The sequence below is a fragment of the Homo sapiens genome, chromosome 6 (assembly GCF_000001405.40).
Source record: "Homo sapiens chromosome 6, GRCh38.p14 Primary Assembly".
Taxonomy (NCBI): Eukaryota; Metazoa; Chordata; class Mammalia; order Primates; family Hominidae; genus Homo; species Homo sapiens.
The window spans coordinates 157,007,933-157,030,749 of NC_000006.12; the positions used below are offsets into that span (position 1 = coordinate 157,007,933).

Genomic DNA, 22,817 nt, shown 5'->3' on the forward strand with positions numbered 1-22,817 from the left:
CCCAAAGTGCTGGGATTGCAGGCGTGAGCCACTGCGCCCAGCCTAGGAAGCCCTAAGTTTTAAAAACTTTTTAAAGTTTAAATTAAGCAAAGAGCTTCATCAAAACATTTAAATTCGGCAAATAAGTGCTATTACAGAGATGCATAGATTTGTTTTTCCTTTTCTTACTTTCCCTCTCTTCCTCCTTCCTTCCCTTTCCTTCCCCCTTTTTTGTTGTGGTAAAATATACATAACATAAAGTTTACCATTTCAACGATTTTTAAGCACACATATTTCAGTGGCATTAAGTACATTCACATTGCTGTGTAGCCGTCACCACCATCCATCCATCTCCAGAAGTCTTTTCATCATTCCAGACTGAAATTCTGTACTCAGTAAACACTAACTCTTCATTCCCTCAGCCATGGCTACCCCATTTTACTTTTTGTCTCTCTGAATTTGACTACTCTAGGGACCTCCTGTAATCTTTCCCTTTTAACCTCCATGCTGCTAAGTATTATTGAAAGCCATTCCCTCATTCCAAAGTTACTGTTATCTTCTGTCTTCAAAGGCTCCGGTTCAGAGTCCATTTAGGGGGTTAAAAAACATGGATTTGCACCCTGATCTCTTCAGCTTAACTCAGACATCATTCTCTGACTTGGACACCTAATCACTGTGATTGCGATTTTTCATTACTGCATTCCCTATTAGTTGGAAGGATTTTAGGCAAATGTGACTTTGAGTTGGGTGGGAGGTGGTGGGAGGCCTTACCAAGCATGGCTCACTTAGCAGTATTGATACCCATCTCTCTGTAGAAGAGACCTCTGGGTACGGGATCGGCGGGGGAGGGGGGCGGCGCTCAGATGACAGCATGGGTCCTTCACTGGTCATCCTGACAGTGACTTGTCTGAGCTCTCACAGTTTGTAATGGGTGGTGGTGCTGGGAGCTGGCAGGTTTCAGTTTGACGCTAGCACACCCACCTTCCCAACTACTGCCAACTGCCTCCAGTGTTAAGATGTTTGGGCTTCCTTTAAGAATATAGTTTAGTTACAGACAATCTCGAAGAAGGTCAATAATTCACTGGGTTAGCTTTTAGGCCAACCCTTCATATAATAAAATAATCGGCTTCTTTGTAAATACCAGTCATTCCTCTGTGCTTGGCCTTTAAGATATTCTTCATATAGGGTTTAGGAGAAGGAAGCCCACTGGTTACTGAACTGAAGCAGCCATCAGCTACAGAGACAGTAGTGCTCACAGTCATTTGTAGGAAACTATAAGTGTTGATGAAAAACTGCAAGATTTCACTGGAAAACACAGTAGTTCTGTGTTGAGTAAAATGGAGGTGCAGTAAGGAAAGTGAGGCTTCAAGGTGGTAATGGCGTGCAAGTCAGTGTTTTTGAGCAGAGAAGTGATACGCACAAGGCTGTTAGTATGAGGAACTCTTCTCTCAATGACCTGGAAGAGATGACTAGAGGCAGGGAGGCCAGTTAGGAAACAGACAGAATAGCGGAAAAGTTGGCCCTAAACTAGGTGATAGTACTGAATATGGAAAGTACATTTCTCTTAGTTGAAAGGAGTTGATTAGAGACAAGTGTAGTTTCTAGACTGGGTTCTGCATATATAGTTTCATTCAACAAGTATTTATTGTATGTTACTATATTAGATATAAAAGCTTTATCTGAGCAGCACATACTCTTGTGAATGTCATAGCTAATATGACGCAAAATGCTCATCAATTGAGACATTTCACTAATGTTTAATTGATAGTGGTAATATTCATATTTGTTAATATGCTTTTCTAAGTGTTTTATATGCATTTATTTGTCAAGTCCCTTATGACATCTCTGTGCTATATAGTTACTTCTATGGCACCTGTTTGTAGAGGTGGAACAGCAAGGCACAGAGAGGTTAAGTAAGTCTTAAGTAGAATCCCTGTAGGGCCAGGATTTGAACACAGGTTGTCACCTACACAGCCCATGGTTTGACCCACCCCTTGAGTGAAGAATGTGATGTAATATAGCCAACCTGTGTTCCAGGACTCTACAAAAGATTGTGAAGTTCTGCTCTTTATGAAGCAATTTTTTAGTAGCTCTTACCCCTTCTCATATGAAAGAGTGTTAGGGAAATCTAGAATAAGAAGAGAATTTCTAAAACTAAATATTGTGAACTGTTTGGATTTTCTTAGCAATATGAGGGAACCTAAAGTGATCACACTTATACCACTGATTCACTGGTTTCACTCAGGGGTTTTGTTTTTGTTTTTCTCTATCTTTGGGTAATCTTGAATAGGGCCGAGCTATTATTTACTCCTGATCAGTAAAATTCTAGGCTTCTGTCTAATTTTGTTAACATTTATGCATTGCCTGTTTTTTTTTTTTTTTTTTTTTTTTTTGTTGTTGTTGTTGTTTTGGTTTGTTTTGGTTTGGTTTTGAGATGGAGACTAGCTCTGTTGCCAGGCTGGAGTGCAGTGGCTGATCTTGGCTCACTGCAACCTCCACCTCCCAGGTTCAAGCGATTCTTCTGCCTCAGCCTCCCGAGTAGCTGGGATTACAGGCAAGCACTGCCACACCCAGCTAATTGTTACATTTTTAGTAGAGACGGAGTTTCACCATGTTGGCCAGGACGGTCTCATCTCCTGACCTCATGATCCGCCCACTTCAGCCTCCCAAAGTGCTGGGATTACAGGCGTGAGCCACCATGCCCGGCCTGTTTTTTTTTTTTGCTTTGTTTTGTTTTGTTTTTTGTTGTTGTTGTTTTTAACTGTTCTCATGTAGCAAGACTTCTTTTCAGTTTAGGCAAAGCAACTTGTGTCAATTTATCTAAATTGAAATTTTGCATGTGTGAAACTGAAAAATCTTTCTCTAGTGCTTAATCCTTCACGATAAGAAAGTAGGTGTGACCTCTTTTGTTTTTAGCTATGAAATTGCTACTTTCCTATTTTTCCTTCTGTAGGAAATCTATAGATTGTGATCACTAATAGAACTATCATAGGGAATTATTAGTTTAACTTTTTAACGAAGGAAAAGAGACATGAGTCATGCAGTTAACTGCAACAGCCTGGTCCGAAGGCCAGGACACCTCTCATAGTTTTTCTTTTTTTCCTTTTCCCTATGGTGTGTGTTTTTTAAGTTTTTTTGGTTTTGCTTTGAGGGGGTGTAGAATGGGCAAATTGAATGGAGAAAGCATTCTGTACTTCTTTTCATTTGTTCTACTTTCTCTTTTACCTTTTGTTTTTAGTGCAGGTATGATAAACTCTTGGTGACTAATCATGGTCAAGGATTTCCATATTGTCATTAAAGCATGTATATATTATCGACATTTAAAGAGTTGGAAAAATGAACACAAGATAATTAGATTGCTATTTGAGGATTTTGTAGTTCCTTCAAGCTCTAATTAATTGTCCAAAAAGTATTGTAGTTCTATGATAAATTCCCTTGCATATGAATTCTACACCTTTAGTCAGTAGTTACAGCCAAAAACAAATTATGTAGCAGTTATGCCTTGATTAGTTAAAATGAACTAAGTGGAAAAATTGAAAAGAAAGCTTAATTGGTGTGAAGTATTGCATTATTTTCTGCTATGGGAATTTTTATGGTGAAGTATAAAATGAAAATGTGATATAAATTCATTTTAAAGTCTTGAGGAAAGAATTCTTTCCTTAGAAAGTTATGTTTTTATGAACCACGGTCCATGAACAACCGTTTCACAATAGACATAATGGTCCATAGTTTAATTGTAGTTGCATTTTATTTATTTTTGTATAGTGTTAATGTGAATATTATCAGAGGATTTGACTTTTATTACAAATGAATCTAAATGCATAAGCACCATAAGACTTCCTACTGTTGTCTTTCTCTACTACCTTATTTTGGTTGATACCTGTGTAGCATTTTTCAAAAGGTACAGTTATTTCTCAGAATTTATGATAATAAGGAACCGACAGATTCAGGAAGCATACTGCATTCCAGGTGTGAATAAGAAATCTATGCCTAGACCGAAGCTATAGAACATCAAAGACAAAGAGAAAGTCTAGAAAGCAGCCAGAGAAAAAGCGCAGCTCATCTATAAAGAAATAGACTGGCAGTAACACCATGGAACTCAGAAGAAACACATAAATGTCTATAAAATAGCAATTTAGCAAGACTGTTTCAAGTACTGTTCAAGAATTATGATAAGATGAACACATTTTAAACAACAGCTGAGGGAGTTTTACCAAAGATCTCTAAAATTCTTCTGAAAGAACTGCAGGATGTAATTAAGACAAAGGAAAATTATCCCAGAAGGAATACCTGAGATGTAGGATGGAATAGTAAACAGATAGAATGGCACAGTAAAGCCAAACAAACATGATATAACGTAATAATTGTGTTTAATTTGTGGAATTAAAGGCAAAAAACTGCAATGACATGAGTTAGTCCATGTTGAAGAAGTCCACCAGGCAGTTGTGAGAACATGGGAGTGGGCCGATAAGGCAGTTATGAGGGCTCCATTGTCAGCAAACAAGTCAAGTGTAAACTAAGAACAAAGTCACTTAGATTGAGAATACATGATGAGGATTAGGGCTACCTTTGGTGAATATATGGTATACTGGAGGCTAACTGGAGGCTGCCTTTATGCAACTGGCCTTGGTTGTCAGTAGTTGACTCTAGCCAACTGTAAATAGAAGACATTATTGGGTTGGTATACTGTAGTACAAAGAGTAACACCCAGGGGGCAAGAGACCTAGGCTTTAGTCTAATTTCCTCAAATAATTGTACGTGACCTTAGACAGTCATTTATCCTATTTGGCTTCCGTTTTCCTCATCTATGAAATAAGAAGTTATACTCTGTTAATATCCAGTGTTCGTTTCAGATCTATGAATAATACTGCAGATTAACAATGAAAGCAACAAATGTGCGCAAATAATAGGAATGGTATGGGACCTTACATGGTGAGGTTTTTAAGTATGGCATGAGGTTTTGTTTTGTTTTGTTTCGTTTTTTTGAAATGAAGTTTCGCTCTTGTTGCCCAGGCTGGAGTGCAATGGCATGATCTCGGCTCACCGCAACCTCTGCCTCCTGGGTTGAAGCAATTCTCCTGCTTCAGCCTCTCGAGTAGCTGGGATTACAGGCATGTGCCACCATGCCTGGCTAATTTTGTATTTTTAGTAGGGACGGGGTTTCTCCATGTTGGTCAGGCTGGTCCCGAACTCCTGACCTCAGGTGGTCCGCCCGCCTCGGCCTCCCAAAGTGCTGGGATTACAGGCGTGAGCCACGGCGCCCTGCCGGCATGAAGTTTTGAACTTGCCATTTTGCCGCTCTAGTGCTGCCTAAGGCACTTTGAAGGCAGTAATTGCAGAGGCATTTCGTGCCTTCAAAGCTCAGTCCCAACCTAAGTTCCTTACCCTCTGAGATGATCCCAGGAGTGGCCTCCTCTGTTGCATGACATTTAGATCCAGGGCTCTCTGAAGCCTATGGACTTAGTACCATTCATGTGAGATGGAGTGATGGCAGGAAAAGAATTCTGTGTTGCAACTGCTGTGCCCTGAAGTTGAGACCTCAGTTGAAGGTAATGATAAAAAAAGAAATGCTAGGTGCATTATTACTGCTTCATCTCTACTTCCTTGGGTTAGTTAAAAGGCATTTACCAGATTAGTTAACACTGAAAACAGGATCTGTCACGAGCCAAGTATTTCAGTGTGTGTTTTGTGTTTTGCTCAAAATAACCCTGGTATCCAACACTCACATTAAACACCACAGGAAGATTTTGGTTGAATGTGTACTGAAGGTTGAGGGGTGCCTGCAACGCAATCTCATGGACTTACCTTTTTTTCTGTACTGACTAGAAACTGATTGCACTATAGCCAAATTACATACCAGCACAAAGGGAATTCAGCGGCAGGCCTGAACAGAATAGAAGTGACAAGCAAGAATCAATTAAAGGAGTCAGCCCCCTGGGTCTGTTCAGTAACACAGGCTAGCACTGTGGGAATCTTATACTCGGTGCTTTGCTCAAGATCAGTGCCTTGACTTTGTACATTGCTAATGCACACACAAAACCTTTGGGTATCATGAAATTTTTGATGACATTATTGAATATTTGAATATTGCTGGGTGTTTTTTGTTTTGTTTTTGGTGACTCAGCGTATAAACCTGCTTTCTTTGGGGGACAAAAGAAAGGTATGGAACTTAAAACGCAGCATGTATTTTCTGCTACTGAATCCAAAGATCGTAGATGCTACTGAGGGAGCATGTGACTAATGACTAAGGCTTGGCCAGCCATTAGCTCTTGCCTGATTAAACTCCACAGACTTTGGAATCTAGCAATATTGTCAGCATCGTGTGTCCATTATTAGAATTGTTGGTGGTGACTTTCTGGGCAAATTATTTCTTTTGACCAGTCTCCCTTGGTTCTTACCTTTTATGCAATCCTGGTTCTCCACTACTGATTCTGTAAACTAATCCAATATTTTTAATGAAATCCGCTTCCTTAGTTAGCTAAATTCAGTTTCGATTCTTTCTAAGAATCCTGATTGCTACAGTTAGGAAATCAGCTATCATATGAGTTTTAAAATAAGGGGAGGTATGCTATGAATTATTGGTAAGTAGGGTCCTGCTTTGAAAGTGATGAGAGAGACTCTGTACTTTAATAGGTTAAAACTTATTTGTAATTATGTTGCTGTGGAATATAAGCAGTTTTTTTCATCTCACCCAATACAGCTACTAGGCTTTATAGATGTATGACAGAGTTACCATGTGCAATAGAGTTTGGGGTGATACCAACACCATTGAATTAATCAGTGTTTTGATAGAAGGGTGATCATCTGAATTCCAAATTTGAGGAATACAATAGTTTTCAGTTAAATATGAATCTTTAGATTGGCATCTAGAGCCATTAAATTTCCTTTGTAAACTAAAGCATGATGAGTAAAAAATTACCAATTACCTTATGTATACTAAATACTGTACTAGTCTCTGTATTATGCCAGGAATAAAAAAAAAAAAAGGATAGCACAATAATATGCCACTCTCCATCTTATAGAAACATGCAGGCTAAAGTAAAAAACAAATAATCAGATTATTATAACTCAGTATTTTGAAGAGCAGCTGGCTAATCTGACTCGAGGGCATCAGACTGGGAAAGACGAGATGACATTTGATGCCACGTGTCTTTTAATCCAGCATTTTTCACACAATGCCCTGCACGTCGTAGCTACTGAGAAAATATTTGGGGAGTAAGTTTGAACGGAACTGTGACTTGAAGAATAAAGAGTTGATGAGAGCCTGATGGAGATATAAAGAAACACCAGGGATATGATTTCTGATTGGAGCAATACAAGGAGAAATGGATAAGTCCCGGAGTTTTGAGCTTGGGCAGATTGGGAAATAGTTTGTCAATAACTGACAATACAGAAGTTAGTTAGGGATCAGCAGAATGATGAGAGAAAATTAATTTAGTTTTTGACATGTTAAATTCAAGGTTTTTGAAGGACATCCTCATGGGACTGTTTAGTGTGCAGTTGGAGAGGTCTGGTCAGTCCTGGAGCTTGGGTGGAGGAAACTAAGACACAGATTTGGGATTCACCACAATATTTGATATTTGAAGCCATATCTGATATTCTCCTGGGTGTGAATGAGATTGCTCAAGAAAAGTGCGAAGACTGTCTCTGATAGATCCATGAGGAAGATAATACTTTTAAATTTGACACTTCTAGAGCTGATCAGAGTTATTCTAAAGGGGACCCACTGTAGTTAGAACACTTCTGTAGCCTGTTTCTATTGGGAGCAGTTGGTTCTCCTGACTTCAGAGTTTCCCAGGTGCTGACTTACCGTATAACCCTGCGTTTGCTGTCATTCTGTCTTCACTTCACTGCTTTCATTCCTGGCACGATAGTAAAATTGTAGATGTTCTCCTGTCCTCATTGTGCCAATCACAGCATTACTCCGACCCCACTGCTACATACATCCCCCAACCCTCAGAAAGAAACACAAAGCTGTGATGTGAATCCTGCATCTTCATTGCCTTCAAGACAGCAAAAATTAGACCGGTTCAGAGCCTCTTGATACATCTGTAAGGAGATATCTTCTCACAAATGGAAACTCTTTTCAGTTTGCTCAGGAGAAGGGTTGGTAGAAGTGGTTCTTTTATCTCGGAAGACATTTGCCTAGTTTAAGTACAGTACTTGAGCCAGCCTGGCTTGTAGACAGTGTCTGTCAAATTACTATTGGCTGCTATTTTTGCATTATTAGAAACATTTCAGTATTAATCGTTATTTCCCCTTTTAATGCTTTGTGCTGTATTTTCACGTCAATAATCACTGATACATTTATATGCAATTATGTCTTCAGTTTTTAAAAAAAGAGCCCCCTCAATGTAATTTTAAACTTCAATACTCAATTGCAAATAGGTGCCACCATCGCCACCCCCCACCCCAAATATCTAGATTTGTCCAGTGTGGCTGTTGAGCACTTGAATTGTGGCTACTTTACAAAGTGAGATCTGCTTCAAGTAAAAGATACACATCAGATTTTGAAGACATGGCATTAAAAACAAAGTAAAATACAGCAAGTCCTTGAATAATATTGTTTTGTTCAATGTTGTTTCCTTATAACTTGGAGGAGAAAAAAAAATATCGATTCCCAGCTGGGACCACTGTCTGTGTGGAGCTTCCTCCTACATCCCGAAGATGTGCCAGTTATGGGACCTGGCATGTCGGCATGGTCTCATTGTGAGTGATTGTGGGTGTGTGAGTGGCCCTGCAATGGAGTGGCATTCTGGCCAGAGTGGGTCCCGCCTGTGCTCTGCAGGGATGGGCTCTGCCCATGTGCGACCCAAACTGGAATACTTGGGTAAATAATGATATTACTTATTTTTACTAATCTTTCTTAAATGTATGTATAGCTCACGTTTGTTTCGATGTTTAATATTGTAAGTATTTTGAGTCTTATTTCTTATTTATATCAATTGGCCCATGGAAAACTTGGTTTCCTGGTAGGGCATTTTACTTGAAGTCATGCCTTCCAAGGAACCTATCAATGTTGTTAAGTGAAGACTTACTGTATCTCATTAATTTTGTATTGCTTAAAGGTTGAAATGATAAAATTTGGGGTATGTTGGGTCAAATAAAACATGTTATCAAAATAATTCCACCTGTTTCCCTTTGCTTAGTGTGGCTGCTAGGAAATGGTAAATTACAAATGTAGTTGGATTGTATTTCTGTTGGACAGGGTTGCTCTAGACAAACCTACACCAAACACAACTTCTGCGCCCCAGGGAATGGACCTTCCCTGTGGACTTGTTATAGTGGTGGATTGCCCTTGTTTCAAATGTCATTGCCCAGTGTAGAAACCTCTGGTAATCCATCAACAATTCTGGTAAATTTTAAAGCCACATTATTGATTAGGGAGAGTTTTGGGAAGGCAGATTGGGAAATAATTCATACTCACTGAGCTACTCAAGAGTAATACTTCCAATCAGTAAAACATCTATTGGGGACCACAGGAAGATGTTCTTTTTGTTTGTTTGTTGTGGCTAATAGATGACTATTAGATTTTATAAAATATGTTTGTTTTGGCTATTAAATGACTATTAGATTTTATAAAATATATGTTTACTTACTACCTTGTTCCCAAAGGGATTTAAGGCATTTAGTTAGCATCTTTCTTTAGGAATTCATCAGTAGTAACAAATGAGCAGTGCTAGTTGAAATTCTAAAATAAAAACTCATATTCCTCTAGGTAATTGCTTTTTAACCTTTTTAGGGGTCTTTCCTGAGACCAGACTGCATTCATCTGAAAACAAACCTGTAGTTAGGACAATCCATGAGTAAAGAAGGCCTCATATTTAGAATGTCATAGCTTCTCAGAATCTGCTTTGAAATTGAAAGTCAACATAGCTCCTTCTGCTGTGGTGCAAATGTCTAGAGCCTAAACATCTCTAAAATGGAAACTGGGCTGGGTGTGGTGGCTCATGCCTGAAATCCCAGCACTTTGGGAAGCTGAGGCAGACAGAAGGATTGCTTGAGCCCAGGAGTTGGAGACCAGCCTGGGCAACATGAGACACCATCTCTACAAAAAAAAAAAAAAAAAAATTAGCTGGGCATGGTGTCATGTGCTTGTAGTCCCAGTTACTCAAGGGGCTAAGGTGGGAGGATAGGTTGAGCCCAGGAGGTTGAGGCTGCAGTGAGTCATGATAGTGCCATGGCATTCCAGCCTGGGCAACAGAGCAAGACCATGTCTCTAAATAAAAGTAAAGTAATAAGTAAAATGGAAACTGACTTGTTTTTAGTAGGAAAGAATGTCTAAACAAAAAGTAGTATGCTTTTTTTTTTTTTTTTTTTTTTGAGATACAGTCTTGCTCTGTTGCCCAGGCTGGAGTGCAGTGGTACAACCTCGGCTCACTGCAACCTCTGCTTCCCAGGTTCAAGTGATTGTTCTGCCTCAGCCTCCCAACAGCTGGGACTACAGGCATGTGCCACTACACCCAGCTAATTTTTGTATTTTTAGTAGAGACAGAGTTTCACCATATTGGCCAGGCAGGTCTCGAACTCCTGACCTCATGATCCTTCCGCCTTGCCCTCCAAAAGTGCTGGGATTACAGGCGTGAGCCACCGTGCCCGGCATAACTATTTCCTTTTTATGATAAAACTCTGCTTCCTGGAGATACTTGTCAAAAATTATTACCCATCTACATGTGAGACCTTCAGGTCTCAGCCTTACTCTTCGTTTACTAATCTGAAGTTTTGGATTTCTGGCGTATGAGAATTTCTGGTTTCCAGCACATCTCTTTCATTTCTGCTTAAATTTAGTAGCTAAATTAATCTGTAGCAAACTTTTCTATGGATTTTTGCAGGTGGGAAAATATACATAAATTCACAATGGATGGACCTTGCCTTCATAGAGGTTAAAAGGAAAATAGACATATATGTGATTATATATACAACAGTAAAATTCTATCAGTCCAGTGCAGTAGTACATAAAGTGCAGTACATTCCAACCATGGGGGGTCAGGGAAGACTTGGAAGCATGACCTCAAAGGGCAAATGTACAGGGAAAGTGAAGGGATCTGTATGAATAAAGGGCTGAAAAAAAATACGGTAGGCTCAGCACAGAAATCATGACAGGGTGCTTCATATTCCAATAATGAGTTGAGGTAAGGGGTGATATCATATGGCAGATTAGGAACAGATTCTCCAAAGCCCTTTATCCCGAGGTAAGAAGTCTAGACCCAGTTCTGTTGGTCTGAGGGATATTAAGCAGAATGACATGTTCAAATCTGTTATCTGAAGAGGACACTGGGGGCACTGTGAGGGAGAATGGGTTGGAAAGAGCCTGGTGTCAAGGAAACCAGTTTCACAGTATTCTAGGCTTAGGAGGAGAGATGCGAGTCTCAGTTAAGGCATTGGTAATGGGAATGGAGGCTAGTCTGTATTTCAGGAATGGTCAGATGATGTTTATAGCCAGCATCTGGTAAGTGCTGATTTCATTCTCATAACAACCATCAGAGCAGACTGTCGTCATATACATGAAGAAGCTGAGGCCCAGAGATGCTAAGAAACTTGTCTAACTTCTCCAAAGCCACTGCTTGGAGGAGTTAAATTTAGTTCTGTTTAGTGTTACCTGAGTCCATGTTTCACTTCCTATTTCTCTCTAGATTTGGAGGAAAAAGCAGTTCTGAAATTGTAAAATTTCTAGCCTGGTGGCTTTTGCTTTCATTAAGGAAGGAGGGAAGAACTTGTCCATTAAATGTTGGTACTCCTGAAGGTTCTGTTTTAGGCTCTATCGTCCTTTGTGATGCCTTTTTATGATAAAACTCAGTCATCCACGCTCACTCAACTGTCATCTAATTGCCTGCGAATCCATGTTCTTTAGTCTCCTGCAACTTGTGCCATGACCTGTATTTCCTGCTGCCAGCGGGTCACCTCCGCGGATATACCACAAGCATGTCAAATTGCCGAGGACACAACCATGCCATTCATTCTTCCCACCAAGCCAAAAGAAAATCTGGGTGTATCTGGACGACTCCTGTCTTCCCCTTCATATGCAGCCATTATGTTTCTAGAGCTAGAACCATCTGAAAATCTTAAGTCCTTTAGGGTTTTTTCGCCCCCTGCCTTTCTCTTTTAGCAAAGATAAATAAAAAGTGAAACAAATTGGCACAACTTGGAGGATGAAGAAGTAGCAAAAGACAAAGCTGTTAGAGGGATAGGAGAAAGTCATTTCAGGAAGGAGGGAATAGACATAACAAGCAAATTTGCCGTTCAGGAAATGTTTTATTTAAGAAAATTAATAATATTTAGAAAATAAATTGGATGGAAATAAATTTTTAACATTCCTTCTCTGATGAAGAACTGACCTAAAATGTAGTTAGTTCTTTATTCTTGCTTTTTAACCTTGTAGATAACATCATGTTAGTCATTTACCCCCATACAAGTTGAGCACTCTGTAAGGGATGTAATTTAAACATGTCTCAAAACCAAAAACCAGTCCATGGGCAGATCTTTTTATTGCGATAATATATAACTACATAACTGTAAATTGGAACCTAAAAATATATATTTAATATGAAATTAATTTTTTTTAATTAACCCAAACTTTAACTTTTTTATAAGGGGTTGTGTTTGAATGCTTTAGCCACTAGGCATGTGTTTTTCTTTCTGATGCTGTTGGAGCTATAAATAGTAGGTAGAACTGAATGAGATGGCATCACATAAACAACAGCCTAGCTTGGTCATTTCTCCTACTCAGATCGCGAGTCAAAATATTAAACAGTGGTGGTTTCAAACTATATGTAATTTCCTCAAAATTATGCTTCTCTAATATTTTTTCCATCGCTTTTTCCTCACCAAAGATTTGTTACCTCTCCCCTTATATAACTCTTGGTCATAACTCAATAAATTATTTTTTTAAGGAGTGGTACGTGAGTTTATGCTGTACGTGGTTTCTTTGGCTGATCTACTTGAGTCCTTAATTTTCTTACAAAAAGTAACCTGGAACTTATGGCTAGAAACGATACATTCTTACAATATTAATGGCCGAAGGAACGTTACTTCTTTGCAGAATTCGATAAAGAAATGAGAAATTCGGGGACCCGGAAACTTTTAGCGCTTGCCCTGAACAGCGGCCCGGAATCTCCCGCCCACCCGTCCCTGCCCGGATGCCTGCGCGGCGGCGGCGTCCTTCCCTCCTCGGCTGCGCTTTTACTCTTGGTCAGGGCCCGCTTGAGAGAGGGGGATTTTAGAGAGAGGGTGTGAAGGACGCAGGACCGCTTTCAGGCCGCCAGCTCTCAGGCCTCGCTTTCCGGTCCTCACTGCGCGTCCACACCTCGCCTTGGTTTCTTTTGTTTTATTCAAGCCCCGGCCCCGCGGTACAGCGGGGAGACTCGCCCGCGCCCACGGAAGAAGCCGAGCTCCTCCGAAGGGAGAACCAGTGATTCCACGGACCCCGGAATCCCCCGGGAGTGGGACCACCAGGCAGCGGGCGGAATTAACCCTGCCGCGGAGGCGCTGGGCGAGGATGAGGGCGGCGAGCGCGGAGGGGACCGAGTCACACAGCAGCCCGGCGGCCTCTGCCGGCAGGCCCCGCTCGCTCCTTTCGGCCCGACCCGGGCGGGGGTTCCGGTGCCGCCCTCCCTACCCCGCACGTAGGCTCGTGGGGGCGGGGACAGGGGGACGAAAACAACCGCGTCCTCAGCCTGACTGAACAGGCTCGGACTCCTCCGACGGCGCCGCGCCGCGCACAGATGAGCCTTTGTGGGACCCCGCGGAAGGAGGCGCCGGCCGCAGCCACATTCCTTTCCGGGCAAGCGCGGCCGCCGCCTGCAGGCACCGTCCGCCCCGCGCGCCCGCAGGCTCCTCCTGGAGGCGGGAGGCGGCGGCCGCTCGCACAGCGTGTTTTCTAAAGTTTCTGCTGACACAGCTTCGCGTACACATGAGCCGGCGCGGCCAGACTCACGCAGGCACCGAGTGTTTCCCCTGCGCCGTCTCGCGCCGCCGCCCCGCTACCTCGCCGCGCGCCCCTAACCTCTGCGTCCCGCGTGGCGCGCCCAGCGCTTAAGGTTTTATTTTTCCCCTACTTCCTTTGGTGCATCTCTTTCCCCCTCTCAAAACCACCACCCAAACTTAAAGGCTGGATGAGTTGGAACCCGTTCGCGTAATTAAAACGAGTGGCTGACGGTGGAAAAGCCAGGAACTACAGACGAAGGACGCCAGCAGGGCCGCGGAGCCCAGGCCGCCAAGAACAGGGCGGGGAGGCGGGGCGGGGCCGCGGAAGGGGGCGAGGTGGAGGGGCGGGGCCGGCGGGAGGTGGGCGGGGCGAGGCTGGCAGGCCGCCGCCATTGGCTGTTACCCGACGCACCGAGGCTGGGCGGCTTAGCCAGGCACTTGGATTCTATTTGTGTAATAGCTGCTTCTTGGAGCCAAGTGCATGCTCATCAACCTTCCTTGCTGGGAAAACCAACTCACAGCATTTTTTAAAAGCCGAGAAACGCCTAGGCTTGTAAAGTTTCATCTCCTGCCTGTGCTTTCCTGTTCTTAATTAAATGCTGAAGAGTCTTGTCGGGATATTACTTTTCATCCTGTCTCTGCCATGGAGACTTTGGGATCACTGGGTGGTCTCTTGGTCACTTGCAGGTGTTTTAGGTAGGATGTTGCAATCTGCAATCTAGGAACATTTGACGACTTTTTCAAGTAAGCTAAACAACACATGAAACTATAGTAGATTAACCAAGACATGCATTTAATCCAACTAGTAGCAATCAGCGACGGCCACTTTGGTTTTACACTTTTTGTTCACTCTGTGAACTATATAATTTGACCATAAATTCTAATTTGTTCTCTTGTTGATAATTCTTATGCAGATAACTTATAACTTATGTGTGTATTTTTATCAGACTCAAAGCAACTTAATTTTGGAATTCTGCAAATTTAATTGATGATCCATTATAACAACGTAGGGTTAGGGTTAGGGTCAGTTTTCGGTGTTGATGTAGAGACAGAATCCAAAAGTATTTTGAAATGTTTAAGAGAAATGGCCTTGAAGAGTTCTGAATATTAACATTCTTCTGTTTTTATGCCTTGTAGTGTTTACCGCACGTGTGAATATGCATAGAAATTTTCATGTAGCAATTTCTGTGTTTGTGATCTGTATACAGATTTTATAAAAATAATAGCAGGGACATTTCTGACCTTGATCATTGTTGTTAACTGATGACATTTGCCAGTTACAGTTTAAATTAAGTTGAATTTATTATTTAGGTGTTTCATAAGAAGGAGTGAGTTGCATACTAGGATATACTCTTGTATTCCATATCCTCTCCTCACTCCGGCGCTTCCTAACAGGAAGAGCAAATGCATTGTGAGGATAAACACTGATTGGTTACTATCTGTAGAGCAGGATTAGCAGCTCTTTTTAGATTTTGAGCTGCAATCTCTTTTAATAGTGCTTAAATTGATGCAGGTCAGTGAATTTTGTGTTTACAGGCTTTTAACTCCCTAGCTTTGTGAATACTGAATTTATGGAAAAGCTTAATTTTCTCTGTATCTCAGAAGGGATATGTACAATTAAAAAAGAAAACAATACAAATTATTTTACATAAACTGGAGCAATTTGGAAACAGTGTAATAAGGGTTGAGTAAAAGATTTCTCCCCATCGTCGTGGCATATTCTACTGTTACACTTACCTGCCATTGCTCATAATGGGTCTGACGTTGTAGGTACATCTAAGTGTGGTTTGCAGTCACTATTTTATGTTATTTGGAAAGTCTTGGATTTTAAAATGTTAACCCAAATAAATATCAACAAGGCATATCTATTTGGGAGTCACTTATGACTTCTGCCCCTCCAACAGTAATTTCTATTTGCTGCAAACATTTGCCAAGTTTACGGCAAATTTTGAAGTTAAACTTTGCCTACCTAATATAATGAGTGTGTGGTTCCTATGCTCCCCTAGGTTTGCCAAAGGTAGTCTTGATGTAAATAATACATTCAAGTGAGATGTCAAGCAAGTGTATGGCTTGACAGATTTTGCATGTAGATTGTAGCTAGTTATCTCAGGTTATTTATTCTTTAAACTTTCACCAATTTACCCATTTTAAAAATAGTGAATTTGTATTAAAAATAGTTGGTAACATAAACCATGGCATTCAGCCTACATTTCATATGAGATTTATCTGCCTGTGCAGAGATGTTACTTAACTTGAAGGCCTCTTTGTGGAAGAAAGATTTGTCTTCCAACATTTTGCGTCAGCAGTGCTGAAGTGCCACTCTGTGGAAGTTGCTTCTTATGGCCTTCCTGCCACAAAAATGATATGTGGTTTAACTCTTTCAGGAACTGGGGTCATTTCATCCCAAACGCTGACCAAGGTTGTTTATAAACTCTTAGAAAAACATAACATAAATGAATCTTACTGCCAAGTGACAAGTTTCTTTTTATGTTTGGTTGTAAATTATTTCAGAAACCTCATTTTTGTTTAAAAAGCAGATTTGTATGAACAAAATTGAGTGAACAAATTGAGTCCATTTAATATTAAAATGTTGAAAGGGCTTACTTGGTGTAGATGTTTCAAACATCAAAAATCTAGCTTTTCGGGGCTGGATGCAGTGGCTCATGCCTTTAATCCCAAAACTTCAGGAGACTGAGGCGGGCAGATCACTTGAGGTCAGGAGTTCAAGACCAGCCTGGCCAACATGGCAAAACCCCATCTCTACTTAAAAAACAAAACAAAACAAAAAACAGCCAGATCTGGTGGCACACACCTGTAATCCCAGCTACTCAGGTGGCTGAGGCAGGGAAATCACTTGAACCTGGAGGCAGAGGTTACAGTGAACCTTGACTGCACCAGTGGACTCCAGTGTTGGCAACAGAGTGAGATTCTGTAAAACAAAACAAAAAAGAAAAAAAAACCCAAAATCTGGCTTTTCATCCTTGAGACTACATTTCAAGCTTTTTGCTATTGAGTAGAAAGGAACTTCATGGTGTAGTTCCATACATTTCTGAGCTATAAGAAAAAGGTATAGTGATGATGTGTTAAGTGCCATGCTTCAGATCTGAAGGTTGTGTAATAATTTTCATGACTGCGCTTGTACAGACGATTTCACCATTGGCTGCAGTTCTGATTTTAAGTTCATTTGCTCGTTTTCATGTTGAAGTTGACATTTATATGTAGTTGTATTAAATAACAAAGAATTTTAGTAAATGATTCCTTTCTTACTCCAAAGCAAAAAACTCAAAAACTTTGACCTCCTCCATAAGAAAAATGTAGCAATTCCCAAATTATGCAGAAATGTCTAGAAATTATCAAATGTAAAATTTAACTCTATATTCTAGAACACTTTCTCAGAACAAAAAGATGTGTTACACGGTGGAAACTAAAGGAATTTTAAGATGAGAAACTATAGGATATTGTTTGAATTCATGTCTGAATATTTGGACAAGATGAAAGTTTTCTGAGCATTGTGGATGGATTACTATGTTGAGAAATGCATAACAATGATGTGTAAGGCAGAACAGTATTCTAGTAGGACGGTAGAACATTCTTGTTACCTTAACAAGTTCCCCTCTATCTTTATAGTTAGTCCCTCTCTGTTAACACCCAAGTCCTGGCTGCCACAGATCTGTTTTCTTTCTCTGTAGATTGGCCTTTTCCAGAATGTCATATGAATGGAATCATACAGTGGGTGGCCTCTTGAGTCAGGCTTCTTAGCACAGTGCATTTGAGAGTCATCCATTTCCTTGTTTGTATCAGTAGTTAATTCCTTTTCATTGGTGAGTCGTTTTCCATTGTTTGGCTATGATCATAGTTTTGTTTATCCACTCATCAGTTGAAGGGTATTTGGATTGTTTTCAGTTTTTGTCAACTATGATGAAAGCCTCCCTAAACACTCTCATATAGGTTTTCATGTTAATATATTTTCATTGCTCTTGGGTGAATACCTAGAAGTAGAGGATTGCTGGATCATATAGCAGACTGCATTTACCTTTGTAAGAAACTACCAGGCTTCTTCTCCAAAGTGGCTGTAACATTGTGCTGGAATAGATTTTTTTTTTTTTTTGAGGTGGAGTCTCGCCCTGTTGCCCAGGTTGGCGTGCAGTGGCACAATTTCGGCTCACTGCAGCCTCCGCCTGGTGAGTTCAAGAGATTGTCCTGCCTCAGCCTCCTGAGTAGCTGGGATTACAGGCACCCGCCACCATGCCTGGCTAATTTTTGTATTTGTAGTAGAGACAGAGTTTCACCATGTTGGCCAGGCTGGTCTCAAACTCCCGACCTCAGGCGATCCACCTCAAAGTGCTGGGATTACAGGCATGAGCCACTGCGCCAGGCCTATTTTTAAAAATCAGATCTCTCCTTTGACTCCAATGTTTTTATCATGGAAAGAGACAAATCACTCATATTTTCTTTTTCCAGACAATACTGCTTTCTGTGGTGTAGCCAAAAGACTCGTCTTTTCCATGTTCAGGTAATTTATTCTTTGGGAGAGCACTGTAATCATATATCAATCGTATTTTAAAGTGACTTTATTATTTAATGTCAAGATGTACCCTTGATATGAAGTAGTTTTATTTAATAAAGCAGCAACAGATCAAGAGCACTTGGTCTAGAGGAGTATGCTGACAAGTGGCGGCGCCTGCCTTCTTCTCGGGGCCAGTCTTCATCTCAGAGCTGTCTAGCTTTCAGGTTTGTCTTCATTGCTTCCAGTCTCACCTAAGCCTCATGAATCCTCAGAGACCTATTTCTTAGGTGAGTAGAGGAGTGTTTGTAATCATCACTGTGACTTGTTTTTGTGCTAAAATACCCTTTTTATTTTTGAGATGGGGGGGTCTCACTATTTTGCCCCAGTTGGTCTCGAAATCCTGAGCTCGAGCAATTGTCCTACCTCGGTCTCTTTATTAGCCAGGATTACAGATGCGTGCCACTGCGCCTGGCTATTAGAAGATGCACTTTTTAAAGAGGTGAAGGGGAGCAGAGTGGAATAGTGGTATTGTGACAGTTACCTGGAAAACTTCTAACTCCTCTTCCTAAATTTACCTCTTACAGAGTGTCCTGTATTAGGTAGCCTCAGTTTCCTTCCCATGTAATGCATACATAGTTATTTGTTATTATTGCCCTTAGCAGGTAAGGCTGTATTAAGCAATTTATGTGAGAGAAGAAAGGGAGATGACATGATTGGTGGGGAGCCAGTTTAGTTAAGTTTCTTTGGACAAATAGGACTTTTGAGAAATCTGAAAAGAATAAAAAAAAATAGTTGTCTGTCTTCCCTAGAGTCATTTTTTCTTAGCTTCAAACTTATTAGTTTACCTAATTAAATAGATTCTTCAAAATAAGTTTCCTCTAACACAATAATTCATCTTAAGGTAAAAGATAAAACTCTGTGGTTAAATTTCAGTATACCTAATCTTACATTCTTTCTTTTATTGAATTGTCTTTCCATTCCAATTTGATAATCAAAATAATACTATACTATTTAATTTGAACTTTGAAAGGTTTTAAATATGCACTGTGATAAATGTCTTTGGTCGTAACCACTATTTCAGTGTTTTGAAACCCCCATCTGTTTTGGTAGAAGTATTTTAGGATAAGAAAGAAGTTTTGTCATCTGTTAGTTTTTTGACATTTGGACCCAAGTGACAGAGTTGGGGGCAGGAACGTTTGGACAGGGAACAGGGCAGCAGAAAGAAAACCAGTGACACACAATCGAGATGTATGAACAGCCATTTGCTGGCTGTAATAGAAGTTTCATTTGCTGATCTAAAAATGTATTTGTTTTTAAAACACCTTTTCATTCTCACCTAATCAATAAAGTCATCTTTATTGCACCTCATTTTCTTTGATACCATAATTAAGTTTTACATGCCTCTATCTTGGGGATGGCCATAGCCTGTGTGTCCACAATATGTCTTCTACATAGTGACTTTGTAACAACTTTCAGCTTCCTTTTCTAACTTCAATGGCAGGGTGGGACTGGGAGAGGGATTTAAGTATGATCAAATAGTACCTTAGCCACAATTTTTATCTTTTAGTACTTCCGTTGATTTATCCAGGTATTTTTTAAATGTAAGATTTTCCTTTTTATGAAATGTCAAAATTAGGAAAAGAGTTTATTTATTACATTTTTGGAGAATCTAAACTTACCAAGCTGTAGCATAAGACATTGGCTTCATAAACTGTGTGTGTATGTGTGTGTGTGTGTAAATGGTTGGGTAAATTGGGAAGTATTGCTTAAATAAAATGGCATTGAATTATGACCAAATTATATCACATAATGCAAGATAAATATTTAGAATATGACTAAACATTATCTCACTTTTTGTAAAGTTTATTAACTACCACTTACTTAGTGCTCATATGTTTTTTAACAGTCCCTCACTGCCTGGACACCCATCATTTTTATTTTCCTTCATCAAACTTTCTAGAATTTAGGAATAAGTATAGAAAGTGTTAAGAAGAAATAGTTATTAATTTGAATTATACAGAAAAATCAATCATGTAGAAATAATAATGTAATGAATAAGTATTAGTGTTTTCTAATTTAATAAGATACAGTTTACATAAAGATCTAAAGGGAAAGCATTGCTTTTATTGAAAGTACTACCTGTTTTCAAAATGTTTGATACATACACATGTGTTGCATTGGAAAGGCCAAATGAAATAATGAATAGATAACTATATTTTGGTCTATATTGTTCATGATCTCATAGCCATGTTTTTTGATAAACGCTGGAAGTATGGAAATGATGAACTTTGATACATGTGATTTCCTTAGGTATAGTGTTCTTAATGCCCCCAAATCTACAAATAATGTCATCATGTAACTGACAGGGTTACACTATTCCACTGTCTCAAGAAAATTATTTATGGAAAAGGTATGGTACTGTGACCACATAAGCCTTCTGAGTGCCGCTATTCTTCTGTAGAATTTGGGCCTGTCAGTCTCCTTTACAATCATGCCCTGTAGCATAGGCAGATATTCTTACCATCCACTGTGTTGTGGTCAGCCAACCTAAATTGGAAAGCTCAAAATTACTTTTTAAAATTGTTTGGAAGGATTGCGAACTGTATGTATTTTTATAAAATATTTACTGTAGTCTAACTGGAGTTATTTATTGGTATGATTCAAGTCTAGAAGTCATTACCTCTTAACTCAGGATGGATAGAAAAGATCTATCTTTGAGCAACATACATACTCATTTTATTGCCATCAGTTTATAAGAACTAATCCTTTTTAAGGAATTTAAGGTCTACTCTTGGCTAGAGAGACAAATGCATCAAATGCATATATATGTATTCAATATAGCAAAATTGGTTTTTGGTTTGATTTTTAGTAACAGTCATGTGTAATGCATGCAAGCATGTATCACCAACCACACATATGACTTCTACTTATATAGTTATATTAGGTAGAGCATATTTTAAACCTTGTTATATCCCCACCTGTGTCATAATGAGCTGTGTCAAATTTGGGTTCATACACATGTATTTATATTTTTATTGTTTTGTTATAGTCTTTAGCGCATTCATTCATATACATTTATTCAACAAATATTTAGTGAGCTCCTACTCTGTGTCTGGCACTCTTCCAGGTAAGAGACATGCAACAGTGAATGAGCTAGCCTGCTCTTGTGAAGTTGACATTTCAGTAAAGGGAGAAAGGTGATACACAAATGAATAAACAAGAAAATCTCAGGTGATTATACAAAAGAAGGAGAGGGATTCTCTTGAGGAGTGATTGGTACGACAGGACTGGCCATGGGATGATCTGGTAGCACAGTAATTCAGGAGGAGGGAGCAGCCAGTGCAAAGGCCCTCAGGTGAACAGTGGCCATTTGGAGGAACAGAAGGCAAGCCAGTGCAGCGGGAACATTGTGAAGAGCAGCGGGTGGCAGGACCGAGGACCTGCAAGGCAGGCGGGAGCCACGTGGTTTAGCTTCTTGTGGACCATGGTAAGCAGCTCGGCTTAATTTTACGGTCTTGGAAGACTTCGAAGGTTTTAAGGAGGGAGTGGAGATGAAAGAAGCAATTGGCTGCGTGGATGCTTTCAGAACTTCCTTTAGTGTCATGGTGTTCTTGCCTGGAACTCTGCCTGTAAATCCATGGCACCTAGAGTTCCTTTATTTAAAGTTGTACAGTGCATCAGTTAGTTTTTGCAGTAGTGCTCAGAACAGCCACCATTTATGTAGCTCATGATTCTACAGTTTGACGATTTGGGCTGGGCTCAGCTGGGTGGTTCTGGTTTGTACTGGGCTTGTTCCTTCTACTTCAGTCAGCTACTGACCTGCTAAGTGGCTCTGCTTCTCGGGCTCTTGGCTTGACTGGCTCTTGGCTAAGGCGATGTGGTAACAGGACCATGTGTTATCATCAAGCTAGTCTGGGCTTGTTCATGTGGTGGTTGGTTGTGTTTCAAGAGAATGATTAGAAGAATTGCCTCTTGAGTCCTAGACTTGGAAGTGGCACAGCATGATTGCTGCTGCAGCAGTCTCTTGACCCAGGTAAATCATAAATCCAGTCCAGATTGAGGGGTAGAGAATTAGACTCCACCTTGGGTGGAAGAGGCTATAACACCACATTGCATAGTAGTGGCTGGTTTCGCACACTTCAAGGTCTCTCTGTCTCTGAGTGATACCAAGAGTTCAAGATTGGTTCATACCAGGTGTCCTCATTGCTTTGTAAATCCTCTGTGGAGGTATCCTCACTGAGTTAGAGAACATAATTGGAAATAAGGGTGTGACCACAGTGCTGACTGACTTTGTTTTAAATTTAACAGCCTTGAATAGAAAGACACACCAGCATCCTAGTGGAGGAGATCATGTGAGCATATCACTTGCGGTGAAAAGTGTAATTATGTTAACATCACACCGCCTTGA

General features: G+C 40.3%; 1 protein-coding gene across 36 annotated transcripts in view, besides 3 other annotated features; it reads left to right on the forward strand.

Annotated features, from left to right (window-relative positions):
• The window catches only part of ARID1B (AT-rich interaction domain 1B), a 434,754-nt gene that overhangs the window by 231,907 nt on the left and 180,030 nt on the right, over positions 1 to 22,817 (forward strand). Inside the window, exon 1 of one of the 36 annotated variants that reach the window (XM_047419153.1) lies at positions 18,227 to 18,415. The exons of 34 other annotated variants lie outside the window; for them this stretch is intronic. In XM_047419153.1, the coding sequence (XP_047275109.1) occupies positions 18,326 to 18,415 (90 nt within the window). In that variant the 5' untranslated portion in view covers positions 18,227 to 18,325. Of the gene's footprint in view, positions 1 to 18,226; positions 18,416 to 22,817 lie in introns of those variants that run through there. One more of the 36 variants, XM_047419154.1, reaches the window with a different exon arrangement.
• Positions 11,162 to 11,211: an enhancer, noted in NCBI's record as "active region_25325". NCBI's record gives its function as "activates an Ori minimal core promoter by ATAC-STARR-seq in GM12878 lymphoblastoid cells {active_cell/tissue: GM12878}" and the evidence as "EXISTENCE:reporter gene assay evidence [ECO:0000049][PMID:35858748]".
• Positions 13,434 to 13,953: a silencer, noted in NCBI's record as "silent region_17718". NCBI's record gives its function as "represses an Ori minimal core promoter by ATAC-STARR-seq in GM12878 lymphoblastoid cells {active_cell/tissue: GM12878}" and the evidence as "EXISTENCE:reporter gene assay evidence [ECO:0000049][PMID:35858748]".
• Positions 14,254 to 14,343: a silencer, noted in NCBI's record as "silent region_17719". NCBI's record gives its function as "represses an Ori minimal core promoter by ATAC-STARR-seq in GM12878 lymphoblastoid cells {active_cell/tissue: GM12878}" and the evidence as "EXISTENCE:reporter gene assay evidence [ECO:0000049][PMID:35858748]".